Here is a 21,887-nt window from a genome sequence, read left to right on the forward strand (position 1 = left end):
GGACAATGTAAGCTTTCCATAAAGCTTTCTTTTCTGATATTAAAATTTCATTTTTAACAAAATTGTGGTAATGATGAGTTGTTCAAAAAGAAAACATCTTTCAGAATGTTGTTTTCTTTTGTCAAAATTATATTTAAAAGATAAAAAGATAGCAACCCTTTGACCTCTAGTTTTTTTTTTGTTTTTTTTTGTTGTTGTTGTTTTTGCTGGTCAGTGAAATCTAAAGCTCTCTAAACTGCTACTCTAGATCAAATAAATTTTCTTGAAATTAGCAGTTAGAATTTGAGTGGAGTGGCGTCTAGAATTTTTATCAGTGTTAAATCACTGTATCATAGTACCTTAAAATGTGTTTATAAATTAGCTCATTCCTGGCAGGGCATGGGTTCATGCCTGTAATCACAGCACTTTGGGAGGCTGAGATGCGAGGATTGCTCGAGTTTAGGACTTTGAGACCAGCCTGGGCAACATAGGGAGACCTTGTCTCTACTAAAATTTAGAGAAAATTAACTGGGCATGGTGGTACATGCTGATAGTCCCAGCTACTCGGTGGGCTGAGGGGGAGGATTGCTTGGGCGCAGGAGGTCAAGGATGCAGTGAACTCTGATTAGGCCACTGCACTCCAGCCTCGGTGATAAGAGTGAGACCCTACTTCAAAAAAATAAAAATAAAAGATAAATTAGCTGGTCTCATTTTTTCCAGTCTCCACATATTATAAGGAGGGATTAAGCTCATTACCGTCATTTTACAGGTGAGCATGTTGAGACCTAGAGAAGTAAAGTATCTTATATTCAGTTCCACGGTGAGTTAGAAGAAGGTATATTACTAGAATACAATCTCCTGGTGTTCCAGGTCATTATTAATTGCACAGAGATAGCAAATTTCTCAGAACAACCCTGTCAGGTAGGAGCACTGTGTGAAGAATCCGAGGCTATTTTTGGCTTAGGAAGAAAGAGCCTGGAGAGGTTATTAGCTTTTGCTGGGTGAGGGAGGGAACATGGGCAGAAAGACTGCCATGTATTTGTTCTTCTTAGCTACCTTATGTTGCCTCGCTGAACTTAGTTAAGTGTGGAAAAGGCAAATAGGCTGAGAAAGAATCATCAGAGCCTTTATTTTTCATTTCTTTTATTTGCTTCTCTCATAGTTCTCTTCTGGCCTTTTTAACAAGCCAGAAGAGCCCAAAGATGAATCTCCTTCTTCATGGAGATTGGGACTGAGAAAAACTGGCAGCCACAACATGCTGAGTGAGGTGGCCAATTCCAGGGAACCTATAAGGGACCGAGGCTCTTCCATCTATCGCTCCTCTTCAAGCCCTCGGATTTCTGCTCTACTGGACAACAAAGATAAGGTGCAGTTTGGGAGGGTATGGGGGAATTCCAAGGCAGTTTTTTTTTTCCATGAAAATTCAATCTTAGGAACAAATGAAAATATTTTCTAGTCCTTAAGTTGATTTTGGAAATGCAAAGTCTTTAAAGAGAGAGAGGCACACTGATAGTTTATTCAAGTAGCTATTTGCTTGCTATTGTTTGCTTGACCAAAAAAGAAAATAAAAAAGCTTTAAAAATAGCTTTTCCTTTTGGTTTGTTCAATCTTCCTTGCCCCCTTACCTAAAGCAAAAAATGGATCAGCAACATAAAAATTTCAGTATGGCGGAGGGGGGCACAGGACCCCAGGTAGGGGTCCTGGATCCAGAGGGCCAATTCCCGTCCCCCCAGCGGCATGGCTTCGTGTGCTGAACCCTCTAAGCCCTCTGCCCCCGCCTCCTGCCAGGGTCCCACCGCTTGAGGACTTCAAGGTGCTGGATGGGGTGGAGGATGCAGAGGGCGAGGAGGAAGATGACCTGAAAGAGCTGCCCCCGCTGGGCATGGGACAGCCCCCGGTGGAAGAGGCTGAACAGCCTGGGACATTGGCCCTAGAGTTCCTCGCTGCCATGGAGCCTGAGCCCGCCCCGTCCCTGGCCCCGGAAGCAGCTGTTGAGGAAGAAGACGCTTGTCCCAGGGCCGCCGGGTTCAAGCCGCCCAGTCAAGGGCCAGGTGGTTACCGTGCATTTTGCAGACGTCGTGAGAGAACAGCATGTGGGAGCTGGTGTTCACCTTGAACAACTGTGACGTCATCCAGGCCCTGGATCTTAGTGTCTAACTCACGGACGTGGGGGAGACGGCCATGGTCACTGCTGACTCCATCTACTGCTATAGCCCCCAGGGCAGGAGCCCATACATCCACCGCACGCGGCCCTGTGCCTGGAGGTGACCCCGAAGACGGCCGTGGACTGGCCTGACCTGGAGATGCTCACAGGGCAGGAGCGCATGGCCCTGGCCAACCGGAAGCAGGAGTGCGGCAGTGCCCACTACCAGTGGGCGGACTTCATCCTGGCCGCCAACTCCTATGACCTTGCCATCAAGACCATCACCTCCAGCGCCAAAGTGGACATGACGTTCGAGGAGGAGGAGCAGCTCCTGTAGTTGAAGGTGAAGTGTCTGAACAACCTGGCGGCCTCGCAGCTGAAGCTCGACCACTACTGCGCAGCCCTGTGCTCCTGCAGCCTCGTTGGAGCACCATCCAGACAATATCAAGGCTGTCCTCCACAGAGGCAAGATACTGGCCCAGCAGGGTGAGTACAGTGAGGCCATCTCCATCCTGAGGGCAGCCCTGAAGCTGGAACCTTCCAACAAGACGATCCACGCAGAACTCTTGAAGCTGGTGAAGAAGCACGCGGCACAGCGGAGCACGGAGACCGCCCTGTACTGGAAAATGCTGGGCGACCCCAGCTGGCTGCCCGCCAAGTGCCCCGGCAAGGGTGCCTGGTCCAGCCCATGGAAGTGGCTGTTTGGGGCGACTGCTGTTGCCTTGGGGGGTGTGGCGCTCTCTGTGGTCACTCCTGCCAGGAACTGACCACCCAGGTGGCCGCCACCCCCTCTGTACACCATGGACCCTGCCCTGTGCTCCATAACTCCCCCAGGCTCCCTGTCCACTGCCCTTCCTGGTCCGGCCCCCTTCTCCAAGTTGGAGGCAGCAAGGACTGGGGGTTGTGCAGCCCAGCCAGCAGGAGGGACTGAGGCCCTCTAGGAGGAATGCGCAGAGTGAGGGGGACCTCATTCCTTCAGACCCACTTTCCTCCCCACTCCCCTTCTCCTGCTGGGCTAGGTCTCCACTGGGGCCAGCCTCAGTTTCTCCTCAACAGGTTTGGGGACAGCCCCTCCTGCCCTGCTTGCCCCACACTGTCTAGGCTCACTTCCTGCCACAGTGTAATAAAGCCTCCTACCCTGCAAAAAAAAAAAAAAATTCAGTATGGCCTAAGAGGTTCTCTGGGCTTTGAGTCCAAATTAAGCTCAGGCAAATTAGTACTTAGAAAAAAAAAATTTTTAACTTGTCATTCTTTCATTAATATGGAAAATGTGGTTAGGCTAACTTCACACATAGTTTGTGTATTCATTCAAGATTAGTAAATTTTTATTTTCTTCACTTTTTAGTTCCAGATTTTATAGGACTCTCTTTGTGCTTTTCTCTGGGGTCACATCTTCCTTGTAATCACAGTCCTCTTGCTTTATATCTCTGGAGACTACTGAAAGAGATGAGGCATATTGGTTGAATTAACTCTGCAGCATACTATTGTACATATTCCTAAGGAAGCTGTATTTCAAGGAAAAGATGTACTGGGGACTATTGGGGACTACATAAATCTTATTTCATCAAGAATATTAGAGTGGAGCTTTCTGTTTGTGTCTTCAAAGGCTTTCCTCCTCTCTTGACAGAGGTGCTGCTTTGCATAATTTGTGCTGCTGTTTTCTTTATTTACTCATCCTGACTTTCCCATGAGAATTATTTCCCTTCATACTGTTTTTTAATGGAAGAAAGTTAGGAATAAGCTTTTGAAAGCTAACCTTTTGTAAATACCACTCAAAATAGAATTAGTGTTGGATCCAGAAATAAGATGATATAGGTATATTAAGTTCTGCTTTTTTACTCAAAATGTTTTATGCTGTGCCAGTATTGTACCTTTCTTGTGCTTTACTTGTTTTTATTTTACAGGAGAGAGAAAACAAAAGCTATATTAGTTCACTAGCACCCCGGAAGCTCAACAGCACAAGTGATATTGAAGAAAAGGAGAACAGGTAATCCTAAAACCAGCCAAAAGATGGTCCTCATCCTCTTAGGTCTACTGGACATAGTCATCTCCTGGGCATTACTCTTCTGCATTTTTCCCTCAGGTGTCCTTACCACATTATGAATTGTTTATTCCTTCTGCTTAGAACACCTCTCAACTCTTATATCCTTGCTTTGCTGGTTCTTTATTTTTCAAATTCTAACTCCAGGTTAGACATTACCTTCTTTAGGAAGTCTTCCCTGATTTTTCCACACATGCATTAGTTTTATTCTACCAGCAGGCTCTGTAAAGGTAGGGTCTGAGTCTGTCTGGTTTCTTAAGGACCCCTAGTTCCTAGCACAGTGCCTAACACATAGTAAACACTAAAATAATGTTATTTAATTAAATTGACCAACTTCTAATTTGTCAGAAGGTAAAATTAAAGTCTTCCTAATTAGTTAAAATAAATATAGGGATTTTGAAGTATTGCTGCATCTCAGGGCAAATGTGATCTCAAACCTTAGCCAGCGGTATTGGCATCACCCGGGTACATTTTATTTTTATTAAAAATAATTTTCTTTAATAGAAGCAGGGTTTTGCTATGTTTCCCAGGATGGTCTCAAACTCCAGACCTCGAGTGGTCCTCCTGACTTGCCCTCCCAAAGTGCTGGGATTGTAGGTGTGAGCCACTGCTCCTGGCCTGGGTGCATGTTAGGACTCCAGAATCTCAGGCCCTACTCCAGATCTACTGAATTAGAATCTGCATTCTAACGAAATTCCCTAGGTGATTCAAATATTAATACACATTAAAGTTTGAGAAGGATTGTTCTAGAGAACCTTGTGAAGCATGGAAACCCATAGGTTTTGCAACAAAGACCCTGAGTTATCAATTGTGGATCAAAAATCCTAGTACAGCACTTTCCTGGATACCTTTTCATTTATAATGCTAAAGAGGCTTCCAGCAAGACTTCTTTCCCTTTCCCCTTCTGTAGTAACTTTTTTTCTCGGTAACAGACTTCTTCATCTTCCCCCATCATTTCCTTATCTGCTTAACTTAAAAGCCACGTGCTACTAAGACTGATTGCAACACACTTTTTTCTTTATTTTTTTTTTTGAGACAAAGTCTCACTCTGTCGCCCAGGCTGGAGTGCAGTGGCATGATCTTGGCTCATTGCAGCCTCTGCCTCCTGGGTTCAAGCGATTCTCGTGCCTCAGCCTCCCGAGTACAGGCATGTGCCACCATGCCTGGCTAATTTTTTTGTATTTTTAGTAGAGATGGGGTTTCACCATGTTGGCCAGGCTGGTCTTGAACTCCTGACCTCAAGTGGTCTGCCTGCCTCAGCCTCCCAAAGTGCTGGAATTATAGATGTGAGTCACTATGCCCAGCTGCAAAGCACTTTTTAAGTGAGGATCAAAAGTGACTTCTTATTACAAAAGGGTTAGAGACCTTTGACATGAGGAATTTGGTACCTGTTGAAATTAATTGGTTCAAAGTTGATAAAAGAAAGCAGGCAGTAATACTTCTCTTCTGTACAGAAAACTGGTATATAAAACAGAATAACCTGAAGAATGTGTCTATTAGCCATGTTATAGTTTGCCTGTCTGGCTCTTCTCTCTCTGCATTGTATCATGGACAAAAACTGGTGGTAGGAATCAGTGTTTTGTTTTCCTTTCATGCTTCTACAGAGAATCAGCTGTTAATCTAGTGAGGAGTGGCTCCTATACCCGGCAGCTATGGAGGGATGAAGCAAAAGGAAATGAAATCCCACAGACAATTGCTCCCTCCACCTATGTATCAACTTACTTGAAAAGGTACCAGGCTCAAAGGGGGTGGGAGATGTTTCTTTCACTCTAGCCATGGGAAATGGGTAATGATTGTATGCCTTTTTATGTCCAATTAACACCGCAGAAATGAATCAAAATGAATTACTTTCAGGTTTCTTAGAATTAACATCTTGAATAATTTAAAATTTATTATCTTAATAATTGAATTAAAGTAAGCTAATTTCAGATTCTCACTACAGATCTGGCTTTATACTTTATCCTCTCCATCCTATTAAAACTTTCAATCAGAAGTGGCTTTCAGTAATCTCTGGGCAAGACTGAATTTAAGTTATCCTTGTCCAGTAGCTGGTTCTCCTTATCTGAAACAGAGTAGTTCTCATCCCATGTGCTATTTTTGGGGGGAGGAAGGGAGGGACACTATAAAGTGGTGGGGGGTGGGAAATGGGGACAGTTTTCTATTGCATTAAAGAAGTTTCATACTGAAGCCTGTTAATTTAGGGACTTGAGTTGTTTTTTTTCTTATGACTTTAATGGCCCTCAGATCCATCAAGATGTGAAACTCGCAAGTTTGGTGCAGAGAAGGTACATGGGTTTCCTTCTTTTCTCATCTGTATTCCCTTTTCTGCAATTATTTTCTTTGCCACATACTAGCCAGCAAACCAGGCACCTTTGCCAGAGCCATTAAGCTACAAAAATACTTAATATTTTAATTTGAACTCTGCTGCTAATGTGGAAGAATCTGTTTTTTATTGCTTACTTTGAATTCTTTCTTCACTTCCACTGTCTTCTCACACCATAGCCTTCATCATTAGGTTTTTTAGATGATTGGTTGGCTACCTTAGAAACAGGCCCTGGCCTAGACTAGATGAACACATTAACTCTTTGGAATCAACACTTATTTCCACTTGACAGAAAGACTTGTCAACTAGTTATTGTTGAAACATGGGAAATAGCTAGAAAACAAACAGTCACTGTTGCCTTTTAATGTTCTTCAGTTCTGTAGATACATTCTATAAGAAAGGGCTCAACTTTGGAAGTATGAAAGTTTGATGATCTCACTGATGCTTTATTACACAAAAGAGGTGTTTCTTGCTTTATGAGGCTATCACCTATTTGTCTTAATGGCTAAGGCCTTGGTCTTCCTGGATGCATTATTATTCATTATAGTTGAATCCAAGATCAAGAAAACTTTTCTAAGAAAACAATGTTCTAGATCAAGGGAAGGGAGAAAGCTGCCATTTAATTTCCAGGCATGGAGTTATTCTGTGGCGAGGTTGTTGATTTTTGTGATCCAAATAATCAGCAAATGGGTTGAGAGGCATTTGGTTTGATAGATGTAGTTTGGCAAAGTTACGGTGAACAGTGAAGGGACAGGCTGCCTCTATTTAGGATCAAAAGCATGCTTAATGATATGAGCACTTTTTGAGGAAAAGATGTACAACTTGCTTCATATCTTGGATTTCCAAAGCTTTTCTCCTGTAACCCTAAAGCATTTTTTGATTTTATAAAAACCTCTTATGGTCTTTTTAAAAGGAAAGAATCATATGCCATCACCATTTAAAAGAGCAAGTGTAAGGAGAAATTTGTCATTTCCCAGCTATGCCAAACCTTCATATACATTCCATTTTCATCTTTGAAAATGAGAATGAGAGTTCATCTCTTGTGTATAGGCAGAAATTCCTTTCATATGGCCCATATTAAAATACCTCTTTTCCAAGGAAGGCTTTATAGCTTTTTTTGGTTATCTGCTCAAGTGTCTCATTTCTATTATAGTCAAGAAGTATTTTTGAAATTTGAACCCAAATAATTTTTTCCTGCAATTGAGATGGTTCTTACCTGTCTTCAATCAAAACAAATACAAGTTGCCCTTTATTGCTCATACAGTATTACTTTCTAGACTTAAAACTAAATCCTCCCAGAGACAATTTTGCTTTAGGCTGAATAACTGCAGTTCTCAAAGTCATTTTTTTTCACAGAGCTTCTTTACTCTTTCCACTTTTAAATTTTAAATCTCTGCTCCACAACCTCTCCAAATTCTCTGGTCTTACTTTTGCTTTTGCAGTGCTAATTCTGTATCAGGTAGACATTTGGGGTTGCATGATTATTTGCCTTGGGTTTGTTGGGAATTACTTTTTTCTAATAAAATTATCCTTTTTCCTATTATTCCCTTTCTTAGCCTCTCCTCTTATCATATATTCTACTTTCCTGCTTTCCCTCATTCAGTATCATCTCTCTTCCTCCACGTTCCTTCACTCTTTTGGATGATTGACCAAAAAGACCATCCTTCAAAGAGTGATGATTCCTTCATTCTTTTGGATGATTGCCTGCTTGCTGCCAGTGACTCAGCTCTAGCTGGAGTTGATCACTTCACTTCCCAGTTGTCATACCCTTTCTTTGGTCTATATTCATTTCAAGTGCACAATCTGGGTGGGAAGGTGGTGCTGGGAAATGGTGGGTGAGCAGCATGTCCTGAAGAAAGTGACTGTGTGCTGTTTTGCAGTGCTTCATTTGGTAGAAGTAGTGACCCCACAAGTCCCTACATTTCAGCCAATCGCAATTCATCTCCTGCTACCTCACCCATTACCATTGGTTCATCTACCTCTCGGGGCAGCCAGTGGCAACCTGCCTCTTCTTGCCCTGCACCAATCAGTGCAAACACTACTGCATCTGTACATCATGGCAGGTAAGGCTTCTTGAAGCCATTTGAGTTGCATTCATCAAAGTTAATGGCTCTGAAAACACATATGAAATTTGAACCAAAGAGACTTTATCACTATAAAAACAAGTTAGAACTCCTGAGAAAATGTCTGAATTTAATGAAGATGCTTTTGCTTTGACTTGTATTAACCAGTCAACAGTTGCATATTGAATAATCAAAGGGTATGTATAATTGTACTTGGTGTTTGGACATCAGCTTAATGTGACTGATTTCATCCCTCAACAACCTAACCAGTTGTGATTACAATTTAAGGATCATACTATTGTGGTAAATTAAATATTGAAAACATTTTCATATTTTACTTCTATTAATTTTCCAGTAATTATAATAGGAATCTCTTGTATTTAGTCTTTTAAATGACATGCAAACCCAAATCAGAAAGAAAGCTAACTCATTTTCCAAAAGCCTATGATAACCTTCTGAAAACTCCCAGCCAATGAGAGTATTTTGCTGGAAACATTGTGAGAAGGGACAGATTTGTGTTTGTCTAAACTGTGTTGTGGGGGCAGTATCTTCTTGGTTTCTAGTTCATCTAAGGGATAGCATGGTAGAATGTTACTGTGAAAGTACATTAGGACTTTAGCTGTAGTTTTAACTGTGGCTTTTAATCCTTTATGTGTGCTGGCAAAGGGTCTCTTTTTTTTGGGTCTGTGTCTACAACTGATAAAGAAAATGAAAAAAATCTTAATGATAGTGTTGTTGCAGGAACACCAGTGATGGTGCTTGATTGATATTTGTCAGTTTACTAGATTTCTTTCCCTAAAATAAGCGGTAATCATTAATTCAGCCAGGAGGGAAGGGTTTATGATGGATTATTAATAATAATACTGTATAATTATAGGTAAATTTATTAGGTCCTTATAATAATCCAGTTGCATAGACATGTTAACTATTATCACCATAGCTGAAGAAACAAACATAGAGAGGTTATTATTACTATATTATATTACTCTCTCTCTCTCTCTCTCTCTCTATATATATATATATATATATTTTTTTTTTTTTTTGAGATGGAATATCGCTCTGTCACCCAGGCTGGAGTGCAGTGGTGCAGTCTTGGCTGACTGCAACCTTCACCTCCCGGGCTCGAGCAATTCTTCTGCCTCAGCCTCCCGAGTAGCTGGGACTACAGGCGCATGCCACCATACCCGGCTAATTTTTTGTATTTTTAGTAGAGACGGGGTTTCACCGTGTTATCCAGGATGAGGATGATCTCTATCTCCTGACCTCATGATCCGCCCACTTCGGCCTCCCAAAGTGCTAAGATTACAGGCGAGAGCCACTGCACCCGGCCGTATTACTATATTTTACATATATAATATTATATATTATATAATAATACTATATTGCTATTACTATAACTATTAAGAGCTGCAACTGAGAGAAAATAATTACAGCTGCCATTTGTTGGACCCCATTATGTGACAGGCATTTGGTTGGCTATTATACTGGGATTTAGTTTGCTCATATGTAACGATAAATCTAAATAGTAGTGGCTTAAATAAGGTAAAGGTTTTTTTTTTTTTCTTGCACTTAAGAAAGTCCAGAAATATGCAGAGCTGGCTTAGTAGCTCCACAGTCATTAAAGGATCCAGGTTCTTTCGCTCCACAGTTCTTGCATCATGGCTGCCATTTCCATGGGTTGCCTGATGGTCCAGAATAACTGCTGAAGCTATAGCTATCATGGCTGTACTCTAGGGAAGAAGGAAGAGGAAAGAAGGAAGCAGACAAAGAAAAAATGCTTCTGAACTGAGAATTTTCCCAGAAGTACTAGTTGTCTGCATATGTCTCATTGGATACCTCTAGTGGCCAGGAGACTTTGAGAAGTGTGGACTTTTAACTAGGTATATTGCTGCCCTCAATGATATAGGGATTCAGTTCATAAAGAAGAAAGGGACAATGGATATGGGTTAGACAACTAGCTGTCTCATGCATACATATATCATCTATTCTCTTATAATGAGCCCCCTATTATATGAAGTATTATTTTATAGACGAGGAAACTCAGACCAAATGGTTAATCATCTGCCCAAGGTCACACAGCTAGTGAGGGCCTGAGATAGGATTTGAACTCAGATTTGTACATTTCAAAGCTCTTACCTATTTTGTCACTGTTTGTATCTGCTGAGTTTATATTTTATTCTGGGTACTATTTTAGGTGTCCTGCAGACATTATTTTATTTAATCATTAGAAGAACCCTGTATTTTAAGGTGCCACTATCTCTATTTTATCAATGAAGAAGAGATCAGAGAGTCTACATTTAAGCAAATGTTGTGTTTCCAAAGCCCATATTTATCCTACTCCATTGCATATCCTCTGATCTCTGCTCTAGGGCTGTTCTTATTCTAACAATCTACTTGTAAAATTACACTGCATTTCAAAATAATAGTAAAAGTCCTATTATGTAATTTAATAAAATAAAATCCTTGGCATTTCAAAAGCATAAGAAATTACAGTGAGACCAAAACATGTTAGTAACCTAAAAAGAACTTCAGGTAAGGTTTGGTTAAGTGTAATTTTTTATAGCTGTGTGTCTAGCTAATTTTATTAGTACTTCCTATAGATTCGTATCTTGTAAGTCTGAGGAATTTTTTGCCTTTTCTTTTTTTGTTAAAAAAGACTATAAAATTTCACCTTTTTTCTTAGTCATTAATTGCTTCTGGAGAAGTAGCATGTGTTTTTTTAGATATTACATGTATCTTTTAAAATATTCTGCCTTTATGTTTGTATCTAGGTACCATATTTATATTTTTATGTTTTTATTATTTTTTTTCAAGCTTGTAATTTGATTATTTGGAAGTAAGCTTAGAGCTACCCGTGAACATTTCTGCTAATAATTGTGAGTAGGTGAAAAAAATAGATTTTTAATATTTGTGCTTTTCATTGCTTTCTCCATCTCTGTATCAGTTTTGGACCTCTGTTACCCCAGCAACAGCTGTGACATCACAAATGATAGCTTTTTGGGTGGAGAGCCAATGGTTGCTCCCAACTCTTCGATAAGAAACAAAGGTCTTGTTTTCATGTAAATGAGTTTAATTATACAGCTTGCTGTTGAAAAGTCTGTGGTTAAGGATACTTATAGAATCCGGTTTGGTTTTTGTTTCAATTTCTCACTTTTGCAGTTATGAATATAGACAATTAGGCATTTGGTTAAATGGGAAGAGAGAGCAGTTGCTGAATTAGGTGAGGGAGAACTAAGCATACTGAGACTGTAGAGTATCAGTTGTCTCTGGATAATCCAAGAAGATGGTCATCAAATCTAGGCTGAGGACTACCACAAAGACTCCCACTGCCAAGAATTAAGGAACAGGTGGAGACTAATATTGTAAGTGACTTTAATGTCTTTTTCTTGTGTAGAGAGGCCATGTCTCCGTGTGCATGTGCAGAGACCAGGTGCTACTGGGGTGTCATTTAAAACACTCTTGCATATGTCACTATCTTGCCTTGTGCCATAGCTAATGATTTTTGTTAAAACAAAATCTCAGGCACACACATACACATACAAGTCTCATAAAATGTGACTCCTCAGGCAAAGGATGTCAGACTAAACATGTAATTATACTATTCCAAGCTGTAAGAGCTCAAAATTAAGAAACCAACAAACAAAATCAGAGCGAGATTTCCTAGATGAACCACTCTTTAATCCTTCTGTCTCTGTGCCAGTGCTTTGTTGTATAGCATGCCTAACCATTTCCTTTCTGCTTGTATCTTTTTAAATTTCAGGACTCCTCACAAATCCCAGGCCGACACAACAGCAGAGAAAACAGCAGACAATGTCTCTTCTAGCACCCCGCTCTGTGTGATCACCAATCGCCCTCTTCCTAGCACTGCCAATGGGGTTACAGCTACTCCTGTGCTCTCCATTACTGGAACAGATTCCTCTGTGGAAGCCAGGGAGAAGAGGAGGTATGTTGAGTTACTGATTTCATTTGTGGGGCTCTGCTTTGAGGTAGACGATAAAGGAATGGGCATAAAGTGTTTTTCCCAATTTCAAATACGTTTATGAAAATATGTCTTTTTTTTTTTTTGAGACAGAGCCTCACTCTGTCGCCCAGGCTGGAGTGCAGTGGCGCCATCTTGGCTCACTGCAACCTCCTCCTCCCGGGTTCAAACGATTCTCCTGCCTCAGCCTCCCAAGTAGCTGGGACTGCAGGCGTGTGTCACCCCACCCGGCTAATTTTTTTGTATTTTTAGTAGAGACGGGGTTTCACCATGTTAGCCAGGATGGTCTCGATCTCCTGACCTCATGATCTATCCACCTCGGCCTCTCAAAGTGCTGGGATTACAGGCCTGAGCCACTGCGCCCAGCCTGAAAATATATCTTTATATTATTGTTCTGTATTTTGTCTCTGAGCAGTCAGTTTTTGGTGACTCAATTATTTATGATTATTTAGCATAGACACTTAACGCCGTTATGGATTTATTTTTTTTATTTTTTTGAGACGGAGTCTTGCTCTGTCGCCCAGGCTGGAGTGCAGTGGCGCGATCTCAGCTCACTGCAGGCTCTGCCTCCCGGGTTCATGCCATTCTCCTTCCTCAGCCTCCTGAGTAGCTGGGACTACAGCTACCTGCCACCATGCCCGGCTAATCTTTTATATTTTTAGTAGAGACGGGGTTTCACCATGTTAGCCAGGATGGTCTCGATGTCCTGACCTCGTGATCCGCCCGCCTCGGCCTCCCAAAGTGCTGGGATTACAGGCGTGAGCCACCGCTCCCGGCTGTCGTTATGGATTTAAGCATATCTTTTTTCTGTTTGTCTTGTGATAGAGACAATTGTTAGGCATTATTTCACCATTTTGTAATGGAGAACCTGTGAAGCACAGAGAAGGATCTTTTGTTTTGTTATGGATAGTCTACGTTGACTTCTCTGGCAGCAAAGAAAGGAAACAGTATGACACAAGGCTCAAAGAAATAGAACTAGGATATAAACTTTTGATTAATTTGAGAAGAATACCAGAAAAAGAAATGAATAATATGTGATGATATGGTAGAAGAATAGTGACTAGATATTCTGTAATTTCTTTAGAGAGAAGTTATGAGAGAATATTGTGAATTGACATAGAAGAGATTTAAGGTAGAAGCTAAGAAAAACTTTTTGATTGCCAGCATTAAGAGAAACATTAGAAAATGTGACCGAGCAAGAATGGGTCATTTTCTCCTACTTGAGGAAGTATTAAAAATAGAATGTACTGCATTTGGGAGTTTCAAATGTACTTAAAGACTAAGGCTATAATTATCCCTTGTTAAGATTAGACCAGGTGAAATCTTATCAAAATTTAGATTTCAGTTTGACTTCATATTATTTTGAATATCCAAAGGAAGGAGCTTTTATATTTGTGTGTATTAAGAGATTGTCTTTTCTCCAATGTATGTTCTTGGCACCTTTGTCAAAAATGAGTTCACTGTAGATGTATGGATTTATTTCTGAGTTCTCTACTCTGTTCCACTGGTCTATATGTCTGTTTTTATGTCAGCACTATGCTATTTTGGTTATAATAGCTTTGTGGTATCATCTGAAGTCAGGTAATGTTATTCCAGTTTTGTTCTTTTTGCTTAGGGTGGCTTTGCTATTCTGGGTCTTTTGTAGTTCCATATGAATTTTAGGATTATTTTTTCTATTTCTGTCAAGAATAGCATTGGTATTTTGATAGGGATTGTATTGAATCTGTAGATTGCTTTGGGTAGTATGGACGTTTTAACAATATTGATTCTTCCAGTCCATGAATATGGAATATCTTTCCTTTATTTGTGTGCTGTTTAATTTCTTACACCAGTGTTTTATAGTTTTCATTGTAAAGATCTTTTAGTTATTTGATTAATTCCTAGGTATTTTATTTTATTTGTAACTACTGTAAATGGGTTTACTTTTTTTTTTAATAGTAGTATGATTTATTTATTTTTTATTTTTTATTTATTTATTTTTTATTGATCATTCTTGGGTGTTCCTCGCAGAGGGGGATTTGGCAGGGTCATAGGACAATAGTGGAGGGAAGGTCAGCAGATAAACAAGTGAACAAAGGTCTCTGGTTTTCCTAGGCAGAGGACCCTGCAGCCTTCCACAGTGTTTGTGTCCCTGCGTACTTGAGATTAGGGAGTGGTGATGACTCTTAACGAGCATGCTGCCTTCAAGCATCTGTTTAACAAAGCACATCTTGCACCGCCCTTAATCCATTTAACCCTGAGTGGACACAGCACATGTTTCAGAGAGCACAGGGTTGGGGGTAAGGTCATAGATCAACAGGATCCCAAGGCAGAAGAATTTTTCTTAGTACAGAACAAAATGAAAAGTCTCCCATGTCTACTTCTTTCTACACAGACACGGCAACCATCCGATTTCTCAATCTTTTCCCCACCTTTCCCCCTTTTCTATTCCACAAAACCGCCATTGTCATCATGGCCCGTTCTCAGTGAGCTGTTGGGTACACCTCCCAGACGGGGTGGTGGCCGGGCAGAGGGGCTCCTCACTTCCCAGTAGGGGCGGCCGGGCAGAGGTGCCCCCGACCTCCCGGACGGGGCGGCTGGCAGGGTGGGGGCTGACCCCCCACCTCCCTCCCGGACGGGGCAGCTGGCCTGGTGGGGGCTGACCCCCACCTCCCTTCCGGACGGGGTGGCTGCTGGGTGGAGACGCTCCTCACTTCCCAGACGGGGTGGCTGCCGGGTGGAGGGGCTCCTCACTTCTCAGACGGGGCGGCTGCTGGGCGGAGGGGCTCCTCACTTCTCAGACAGGGCGGCCGGGCAGAGACGCTCCTCACCTACCAGATGGGGTCGCGGCCGGGCAGAGGCGCTCCTCACATCCCAGACGGGGCGGCGGGGCAGAGGCGCTCCCCACATCTCAGACGATGGGCAGCTGGGCAGAGACGCTCCTCACTTTCCAGACGGGGTGGCGGCCGGGCAGAGGCTGCAATCTCGGCACTTTGGGAGGCCAAGGCAGGCAGCTGGGAGGTGGAGGTTGTAGCGAGCCGAGATCACGCCACTGCACTCCAGCCTGGGCACCATTGAGCACTGAGTGAACGAGACTCCATCTGCAATCCCGGCACCTCGGGAGGCCAAGGCTGGCGGATCACTCGCGGTTAGGAGCTGGAGACCAGCCTGGCCAACACAGCGAAACCCCGTCTCCACCAAAAAAATACGAAAACCAGTCAGGCGTGGCGGCGTGCGCCTGCAATCACAGGCACTTGGCAGGCTGAGGCAGGAGAATCAGGCAGGGAGGTTGCAGTGAGCCGAGATGGCAGCAGTACAGTCCAGCTTCGGCTTGGCATCAGAGGGAGACCGTTTAAAGAGGGAGAGGGAGACCGTGGGGAGACGGGAGAGGAGGAGGGGGAGGGGGAGAGGGAGAGGGAGAAGGGGGTTTACTTTCTTGATTTCTTTTTCAGATTGTTCACTGTTGGCAAATAAAAGTGCTAGTGACTTTTGTATGTTGATTTTGAATTCTGCAACTTTATTGAATTTTTCAGTTCTAATAGTTTTTTTGGTGGAGTCTTTAGGTTTTTCCAAATATAAGATTATCTATCTGCAAACTTCTTCCTTTCCAATTTGTATGTCATGTATTACTTTCTCTCTCTCTCTCTTTTTTTTTTTTTAAATAGAGATGGGGTCTCACTGTGTTGTCCAAGCTGGTCTCAAACTCCTGGGGTCAAGCCATTTTCCCACCTCTGCCTTCCGAAATGCTAAGATTACAGGCGTGAGCCACTGTGCCTGGCCTATTGCTTTCTCTTGTCCGATTGCTCTAGGTAGGACTTCCAGCACTATATTGAATAACAGTGGTTGAAAGTGGACATCCTTGTCTTGTTTCAGATCTTAGAGGAAAGGCTTTCAGTTTTTCGCCATTCAGTATGATAATAGCTGTGGGTTTGTCATATATGGCTTTTAGTGTGTTGAAGTATGTTCCTTCTGTACCCAGTTTTTTGAGGGTTTTTATCATGAAAGGATGTTGAATTTTATCAAATGCTATTTCAGCATCAATTGAAATGATCATAGTGTTTTTATCTTTCATTCTGTCAATATGATATATCACATTGATTGACTTGTGTATCTTTGAACCATCCTTGCATCCCTGGGATAAATCCCACTTGGTCATGATGAATTATCTTTTTAATGTGTTGTTGAACTTGGTTTGCTAGTATTGGCCTGTAGTTTTCTTTTTTTGATGTGTCTTTGTCTGATTTGGTATCAAGGTAATGTTGGCCTCATCAGATAAGTTTGGAAGTATTCCTTCCTTTTCTGTTTTTCAGAATAGTTTGAGTAAGATTGGTATTAATTCTTCTTTAGGTGTTTGGTAAAATTCAGCAGTGAAGCCATCAGGTCCCACGTGAGTATGTATGTATGTGTAGTAAGTATAAAAGATACAATACAAATTAAACAAGATGCAAGATACAATACAAATCGAACTTTTTATGTTTGCTTATTGTAAGGACAGGTCTAATATGTCTATTATAAAGACACTTTTTTTTTTTTTTATAAAGACACATTTTGAGAAGGAAGGGAGATGTTGAGTTGGAAAATAGTGTTTTTCTTCTTCTTTTCTTTCCTGTCCTTTCTTTTTTCTTTTTTTCATTTCTTTACATAAAATGGAAGGAAACTAATTTCTGGGCTAACAGGTTTCAGAGCCAATAACTGTCTTTTCAAAATTGGTCTCCAGCCAAGGAAATAGTAATAAATCAATGTTGAATAGTAAATGCTTCTATACTTAATAGCTCAAATGTAATTTAGATACTATTAGTTTCACCTAGAAACTAAATGCAAAAGTAATCTCTAGCTGACAAAAACTCTCTTTAAAAAATCTTTCTGAGCTGAAAGAAGTAAAATGAGTTAAATTCATCATTAAGAGCATGATCCCAGAAAGGATGGGGGAAATCAGGTAGTTTATAAAACTGCATTATTAAATACCTTGTTGCATGAACTGTTATTTGGAGAAACTTAGTTTTACTGCCTTCTGGAAATGTTGTAACCTACAATCAATAAGATAGTACCTGTAACAGAGACCAGATATATGAATCAAAGGGTTAAATCAAAATATTAGTGAATTATGAGTTGAATGTGGTACATCAAGTACAGGTCAAAATAAGTGCATTTTAGGAATGGCACAAGATAAGTAAGTAGGGAGATGTTAGATGTAGACTGGTTGGACTCATTCACTGGATATGTTCTAGCATTCATTCATCTTCAAAATACTTACTGAATATTTTAAAGTACCTGTTGCCAGGTGCTATGAGAAGCCCAGGTGATACATCAGTGAACCAGACAAATATGATGTGAGCCCTTGTGAAACAAATATGCTAGTGAAAAAGAAAAATGTAAATAATTATATTTGTGTAATATAAAGAAGTAGTATGAGTTGTTATAACAGTGTCATACCGAAAATCTGCTGACAGAAGACTTCCCTTCTTGGCCAGGTATGGTAGCTCACACCTGTAATCTTGGCACTTTGGGAGGCCAAGTTGGGAGGATCACTTGAGACCAGGAGCTCAAGACCAGCCTGGGCAACACAGCAAGACCCCATGTCTACAAAAATAAAATTAACTGGGTGGTGGCACATGCTTCCAGCTGCTTGAGAGCCTGAGATGGGAAGAGCTCTTGAGCCCCGGAGTTTGAGGCTACCATGAACTATTATAACACCACTGTACTCTATCCTCGACCACAGAGCACAACCCTGTCTCTAAAAAAAAAAAAGATTTCCCTTCTCCTGGAGGATGAAAGAAGGCTCTCATGAGGGTGTGATACTGCTCAACCTGAGATCTGCTGGTTAAGTAACAGCTAAGTGAAGAGAAGGGAGTGGGCATTGCAAACAAAAGATCTGGCAATTGAAAAGATACTGAGGTGGAAAGGTACTTGATCTTTTGGAGAAACAGAGAAGGCATTGTGACTAAGAGTAAAGAATGAGGGAGAGAGGTCTAGGATGAAGCTTGAGGAGTAGGTAGGAGCTATATACATATATATATATAGAGAGAGAGAGAGAGAATTCACATACCATACAATTCACTCATTTAAGGTGTACAATGCAGTGGTTTTTAGTATATTCACAGATATGTGGAGCCATCATCACAGTAAATTACAGAACATTTTCATCATCTTAGAGAGAAATCCTGTACCCTGTAGCTATCCCCCACAATCTCCTTATTCCCCCTAGGCCTAAGCAACCACTGATCTACTTTTTGTCTATAGATTTGCTTATTTTGGACATTTTATATAAATGGAATAAAAATACAATCTTTTGTGCCTGACTTCTTTTACTTAATATAATGTTTTCAAGGTTCATCCATATGATAGCATGTATCAGTACTTTATTCCTTTACATGGGTGAATAATATTCCATCATATAGATAATGCCACATTTTGTTTGTCCATTCATAAGTCAATGGACACTTGAGTTGTTTCCACCTTTTAGTTATTATGAATAATGTTACCACAAGCATTTGTGTAGAAGTTTTCGTGTGGACATCTGGTTTGATTTCTCTTGATTATATACCTAGGAGTAGAATTTCTGGGTCATATGCCACTAGAAGATTTTAAGCAAAAAGTACCATGACGTGACCTATAGTTTTTAAAGTTCTGACTTTTAAACTCTGGCTGCAGTTTTACATATGAATTGGATGAGGAAAAATACACAAGAATGGGTGTGAGATGACCAGTAAGGAAACCACTGCAGAAGAAAGGCTCATGAGAGAGAACAGTGGCTTGCACTGAGATAATGGTAGAAGAGATAGAGAAAAGTGAATGATCTTGGCCAGGCACGGTGACTCATGTCTGTAATCCCAGCACTTTGGGAGGCTGAGGGGGTTGGATCACTTGATGTCAGGAGTTCTAGACCAGCCTGGCCAACACAGTGAAATCCCGTCTCTAATAAAAATACAAAAATTAGCCAGGAGTGGTGATGCACGCCTGTAATCCCAGCTACTCAGGAGGCTGAGGCAGTAGAATCGCTTGAGCCTGGGAAATGGAGGTTGCAGTGAGCCGAGATTGTACCAGTGCACTCCAGCCTGGGCGACAGAGCAAGAATCCGTCTCAAAAAAAAAAAAGAAAGAAAGAAAGAAAGAAAGAAATGTGAATGGTTTGAAAATACGTTTAGGAGGATAATTCCGACATGGTAGATGGAACTTATAAGGCTCCCTTGCCCATTATAAACAGAAATTCATAGTTGAATTCAGAAGAATAATAGGGAACTCTCAGATGACAAAAGTGAAGAGTACTCAAAAGCCAGAGTAGTTTGAGTGACCCAGGGTTGGTGTCAGACCTATATGTAGACCATAAGGTCTGGACACTCAGATTTTAATGCCGTGTGTGTAGAACGCATGGCTGTGGACCTACTAAGGCTGCAAGTTGTAACTAAGAAACTATATCAAGCTAGAAATCTCAAAGGGTTCATGAAAAGGGTACTTTGCCCATAGCTCAAAGGAGTGGCAAGGAAGGAAATCTATACAAGCGTCAGGGTAGGGCAGATGACTCACTTGTGAGAAATTTTCACTATTCGTATAGTTTAGAAATCCCAAAAGTCAAGGATTTAATACAGAAACTGTGTCTGTACTCTTGAAACTCTGGGGCCCTGGCACAAGTAAATTCAAAACCACCTTGAAGGAACACATCTGCAATCCAGAGTAAAAGACTGTAAACTGTAAAAACAGTTTCAACCAAAGATGAATTCACATAAAACATAAACACTGAAGGTCACCATGAGGGAAGAGTTCTATGACAAACTCATAGATGCAGACTAACATGTAATAAAAGTTTTAAATGCAGAAAGAAACCTCAAACTATTATTGGAATAGGTAACAAGAATTACAGTTGACCAGCTGTATTGAAGATAGACACACGTATAGGAACAGTTTGGTAAATGAATCAGGAATGGTTTTTAAAGTATAAGATTTTGCAAAATAGTATTATCTATATAGAATCTTGTTTAAATGGGAACCCACATATATAAAGCACCTAACAACCATTTATTGAGAGACTGCCATGTGCCAGGCACAGAGACATTAAGGATACGAGACCAAAGAAAACATTTTTTTGGCTGGGTCCAGTAGCTCACACCTGTAATCCCAGCACTTTGGGAGGCCGAGGCGGGTGGACTGCTTGAGGTCTGGAGTTCAAGACCAGCCTGACCAACATGGCGACACGCCATCTCTACTAAAAAAATACAAAAAATTAGCTGGGCATGGTGGCACGTGCCTGTAATCCCAGCTACTAAGGAGGCCGAGGCAGGAGAATCACTTGAACCTGGGACGCAGAGGTTGCAGTGAGCTGAGATTGCGCCATTGCTCTCCAGCCTGGGAGACAGAGCGAGACTCCATCTCAAAAAAAAAAAAAAAGAAAGAAAGAAAACATTTTTTCTACCCTTGAGGATATAACTATTATGGGAAGTCAAATAAGTACATCAAATATTATTGTATAATTGTTAAGTGCTGTGGTAAAGATATGTATAGATTGCTATGAGAGCATAGAGGAGGGGAATCTAAATTAGATTGAATAGGGTGACAAGGAAGGCCTACCAGAGGAGGTAACTGGAGTTGAATTTTGAAAGGCAACTTTAAGTTAACTATAAGTAGTAATAGGAGGATGGTATTTGAGAGGAAACATGAGAAATTCAAGAAACAAACAAGTTCAGAATGCCTGAAGCTGGGAGAAGGTGAGGCCAGGCTAGCATATCTGAAAGTGTCTTTTGTGGAAACAGATTTAGATGAAGGAAAAAAAAAAAAGTATTCTGTGGCTAAATGAATTTGGGAACAATGGATTAAACAAAATTAAATAGGATCACTCAAAAGCCTTCTTAGGGTCATTCCTCTCTGGGGAATGGGGAGAGTGGGACATGGGAGTGGTTAGGGAATTTGCAGCATTTTCCAAATTTCTGAGTCCATCTAGTAGTTTTGTTTTTCAAAGAAACCCAAGACTGGTATTCCACTGGAGAAACTTTGGAAATTGTCAAGCTAGAGAGGTAGGCAGGAACCAAATCATGTAGATTTTTGTCTGTACTATGCTAAGAAATTTGAATTTCTAGTCTCAAAGCTATGGAATACAATTGAGGGAATAAATAGGATCACTCAAAAGCTTTCTTAGGGTCATTCCTCTCTGGGGAATGGGGAGAGTGGGACGTGGGAGTGGTTAGGGAATTTGCAGCATTTTCCAAATTTCTGAGTCCATCTAGTAGTTTTGTTTTGTTTTTCAAAGAAACCCAAGACTGGTATTCCACTGGAGAAACTTTGGAAATTGTCAAGCTAGAGAGGTAGGCAGGAACCAAATCATGTAGATTTTTGTCTGTACTATGCTAAGAAATTTGAATTTCTAGTCTCAAAGCTATGGAATACAATTGA

At 41.1% G+C, this 21,887-nt stretch overlaps 1 protein-coding gene and 1 pseudogene across 20 annotated transcripts in view, besides 1 other annotated feature; both read left to right on the forward strand.

The window, feature by feature from the left end:
• Positions 1–21,887, forward strand: part of PPP1R12B (protein phosphatase 1 regulatory subunit 12B) — a 244,004-nt gene that overhangs the window by 87,981 nt on the left and 134,136 nt on the right. For 10 of the 20 annotated variants that reach the window (XR_001737195.2, XR_007060689.1, XR_001737196.3 and 7 more), the window contains 5 exons: positions 1,142–1,345; positions 4,027–4,109; positions 5,768–5,893; positions 8,367–8,549; positions 12,310–12,492. Coding sequence is in view for 11 of the 20 variants with exons in the window: in NM_001331029.2 (NP_001317958.1) it covers positions 1,142–1,345; positions 4,027–4,109; positions 5,768–5,893; positions 8,367–8,549; positions 12,310–12,492 (779 nt within the window). In the remaining 9 variants the exon portion in view is untranslated. Of the gene's footprint in view, positions 1–1,141; positions 1,564–4,026; positions 4,110–5,767; positions 5,894–6,407; positions 6,449–8,366; positions 8,550–12,309; positions 12,493–21,887 lie in introns of those variants that run through there. The other 10 variants (XR_007060690.1, XR_007060691.1, XR_001737199.2 and 7 more) reach the window with 4 other exon arrangements.
• On the forward strand, positions 1,649–3,086 carry LOC100420423 (FKBP prolyl isomerase 8 pseudogene; annotated as a pseudogene).
• Positions 8,328–8,528: a silencer, noted in NCBI's record as "peak655 fragment used in MPRA reporter construct". NCBI's record gives its function as "represses an SCP1 promoter by STARR-seq MPRAs in K562 erythroleukemia cells {active_cell/tissue: K562}" and the evidence as "EXISTENCE:reporter gene assay evidence [ECO:0000049][PMID:32103011]".

Source organism: Homo sapiens, chromosome 1 (assembly GCF_000001405.40).
Source record: "Homo sapiens chromosome 1, GRCh38.p14 Primary Assembly".
In the NCBI taxonomy this organism is placed as follows: domain Eukaryota; kingdom Metazoa; phylum Chordata; class Mammalia; order Primates; family Hominidae; genus Homo; species Homo sapiens.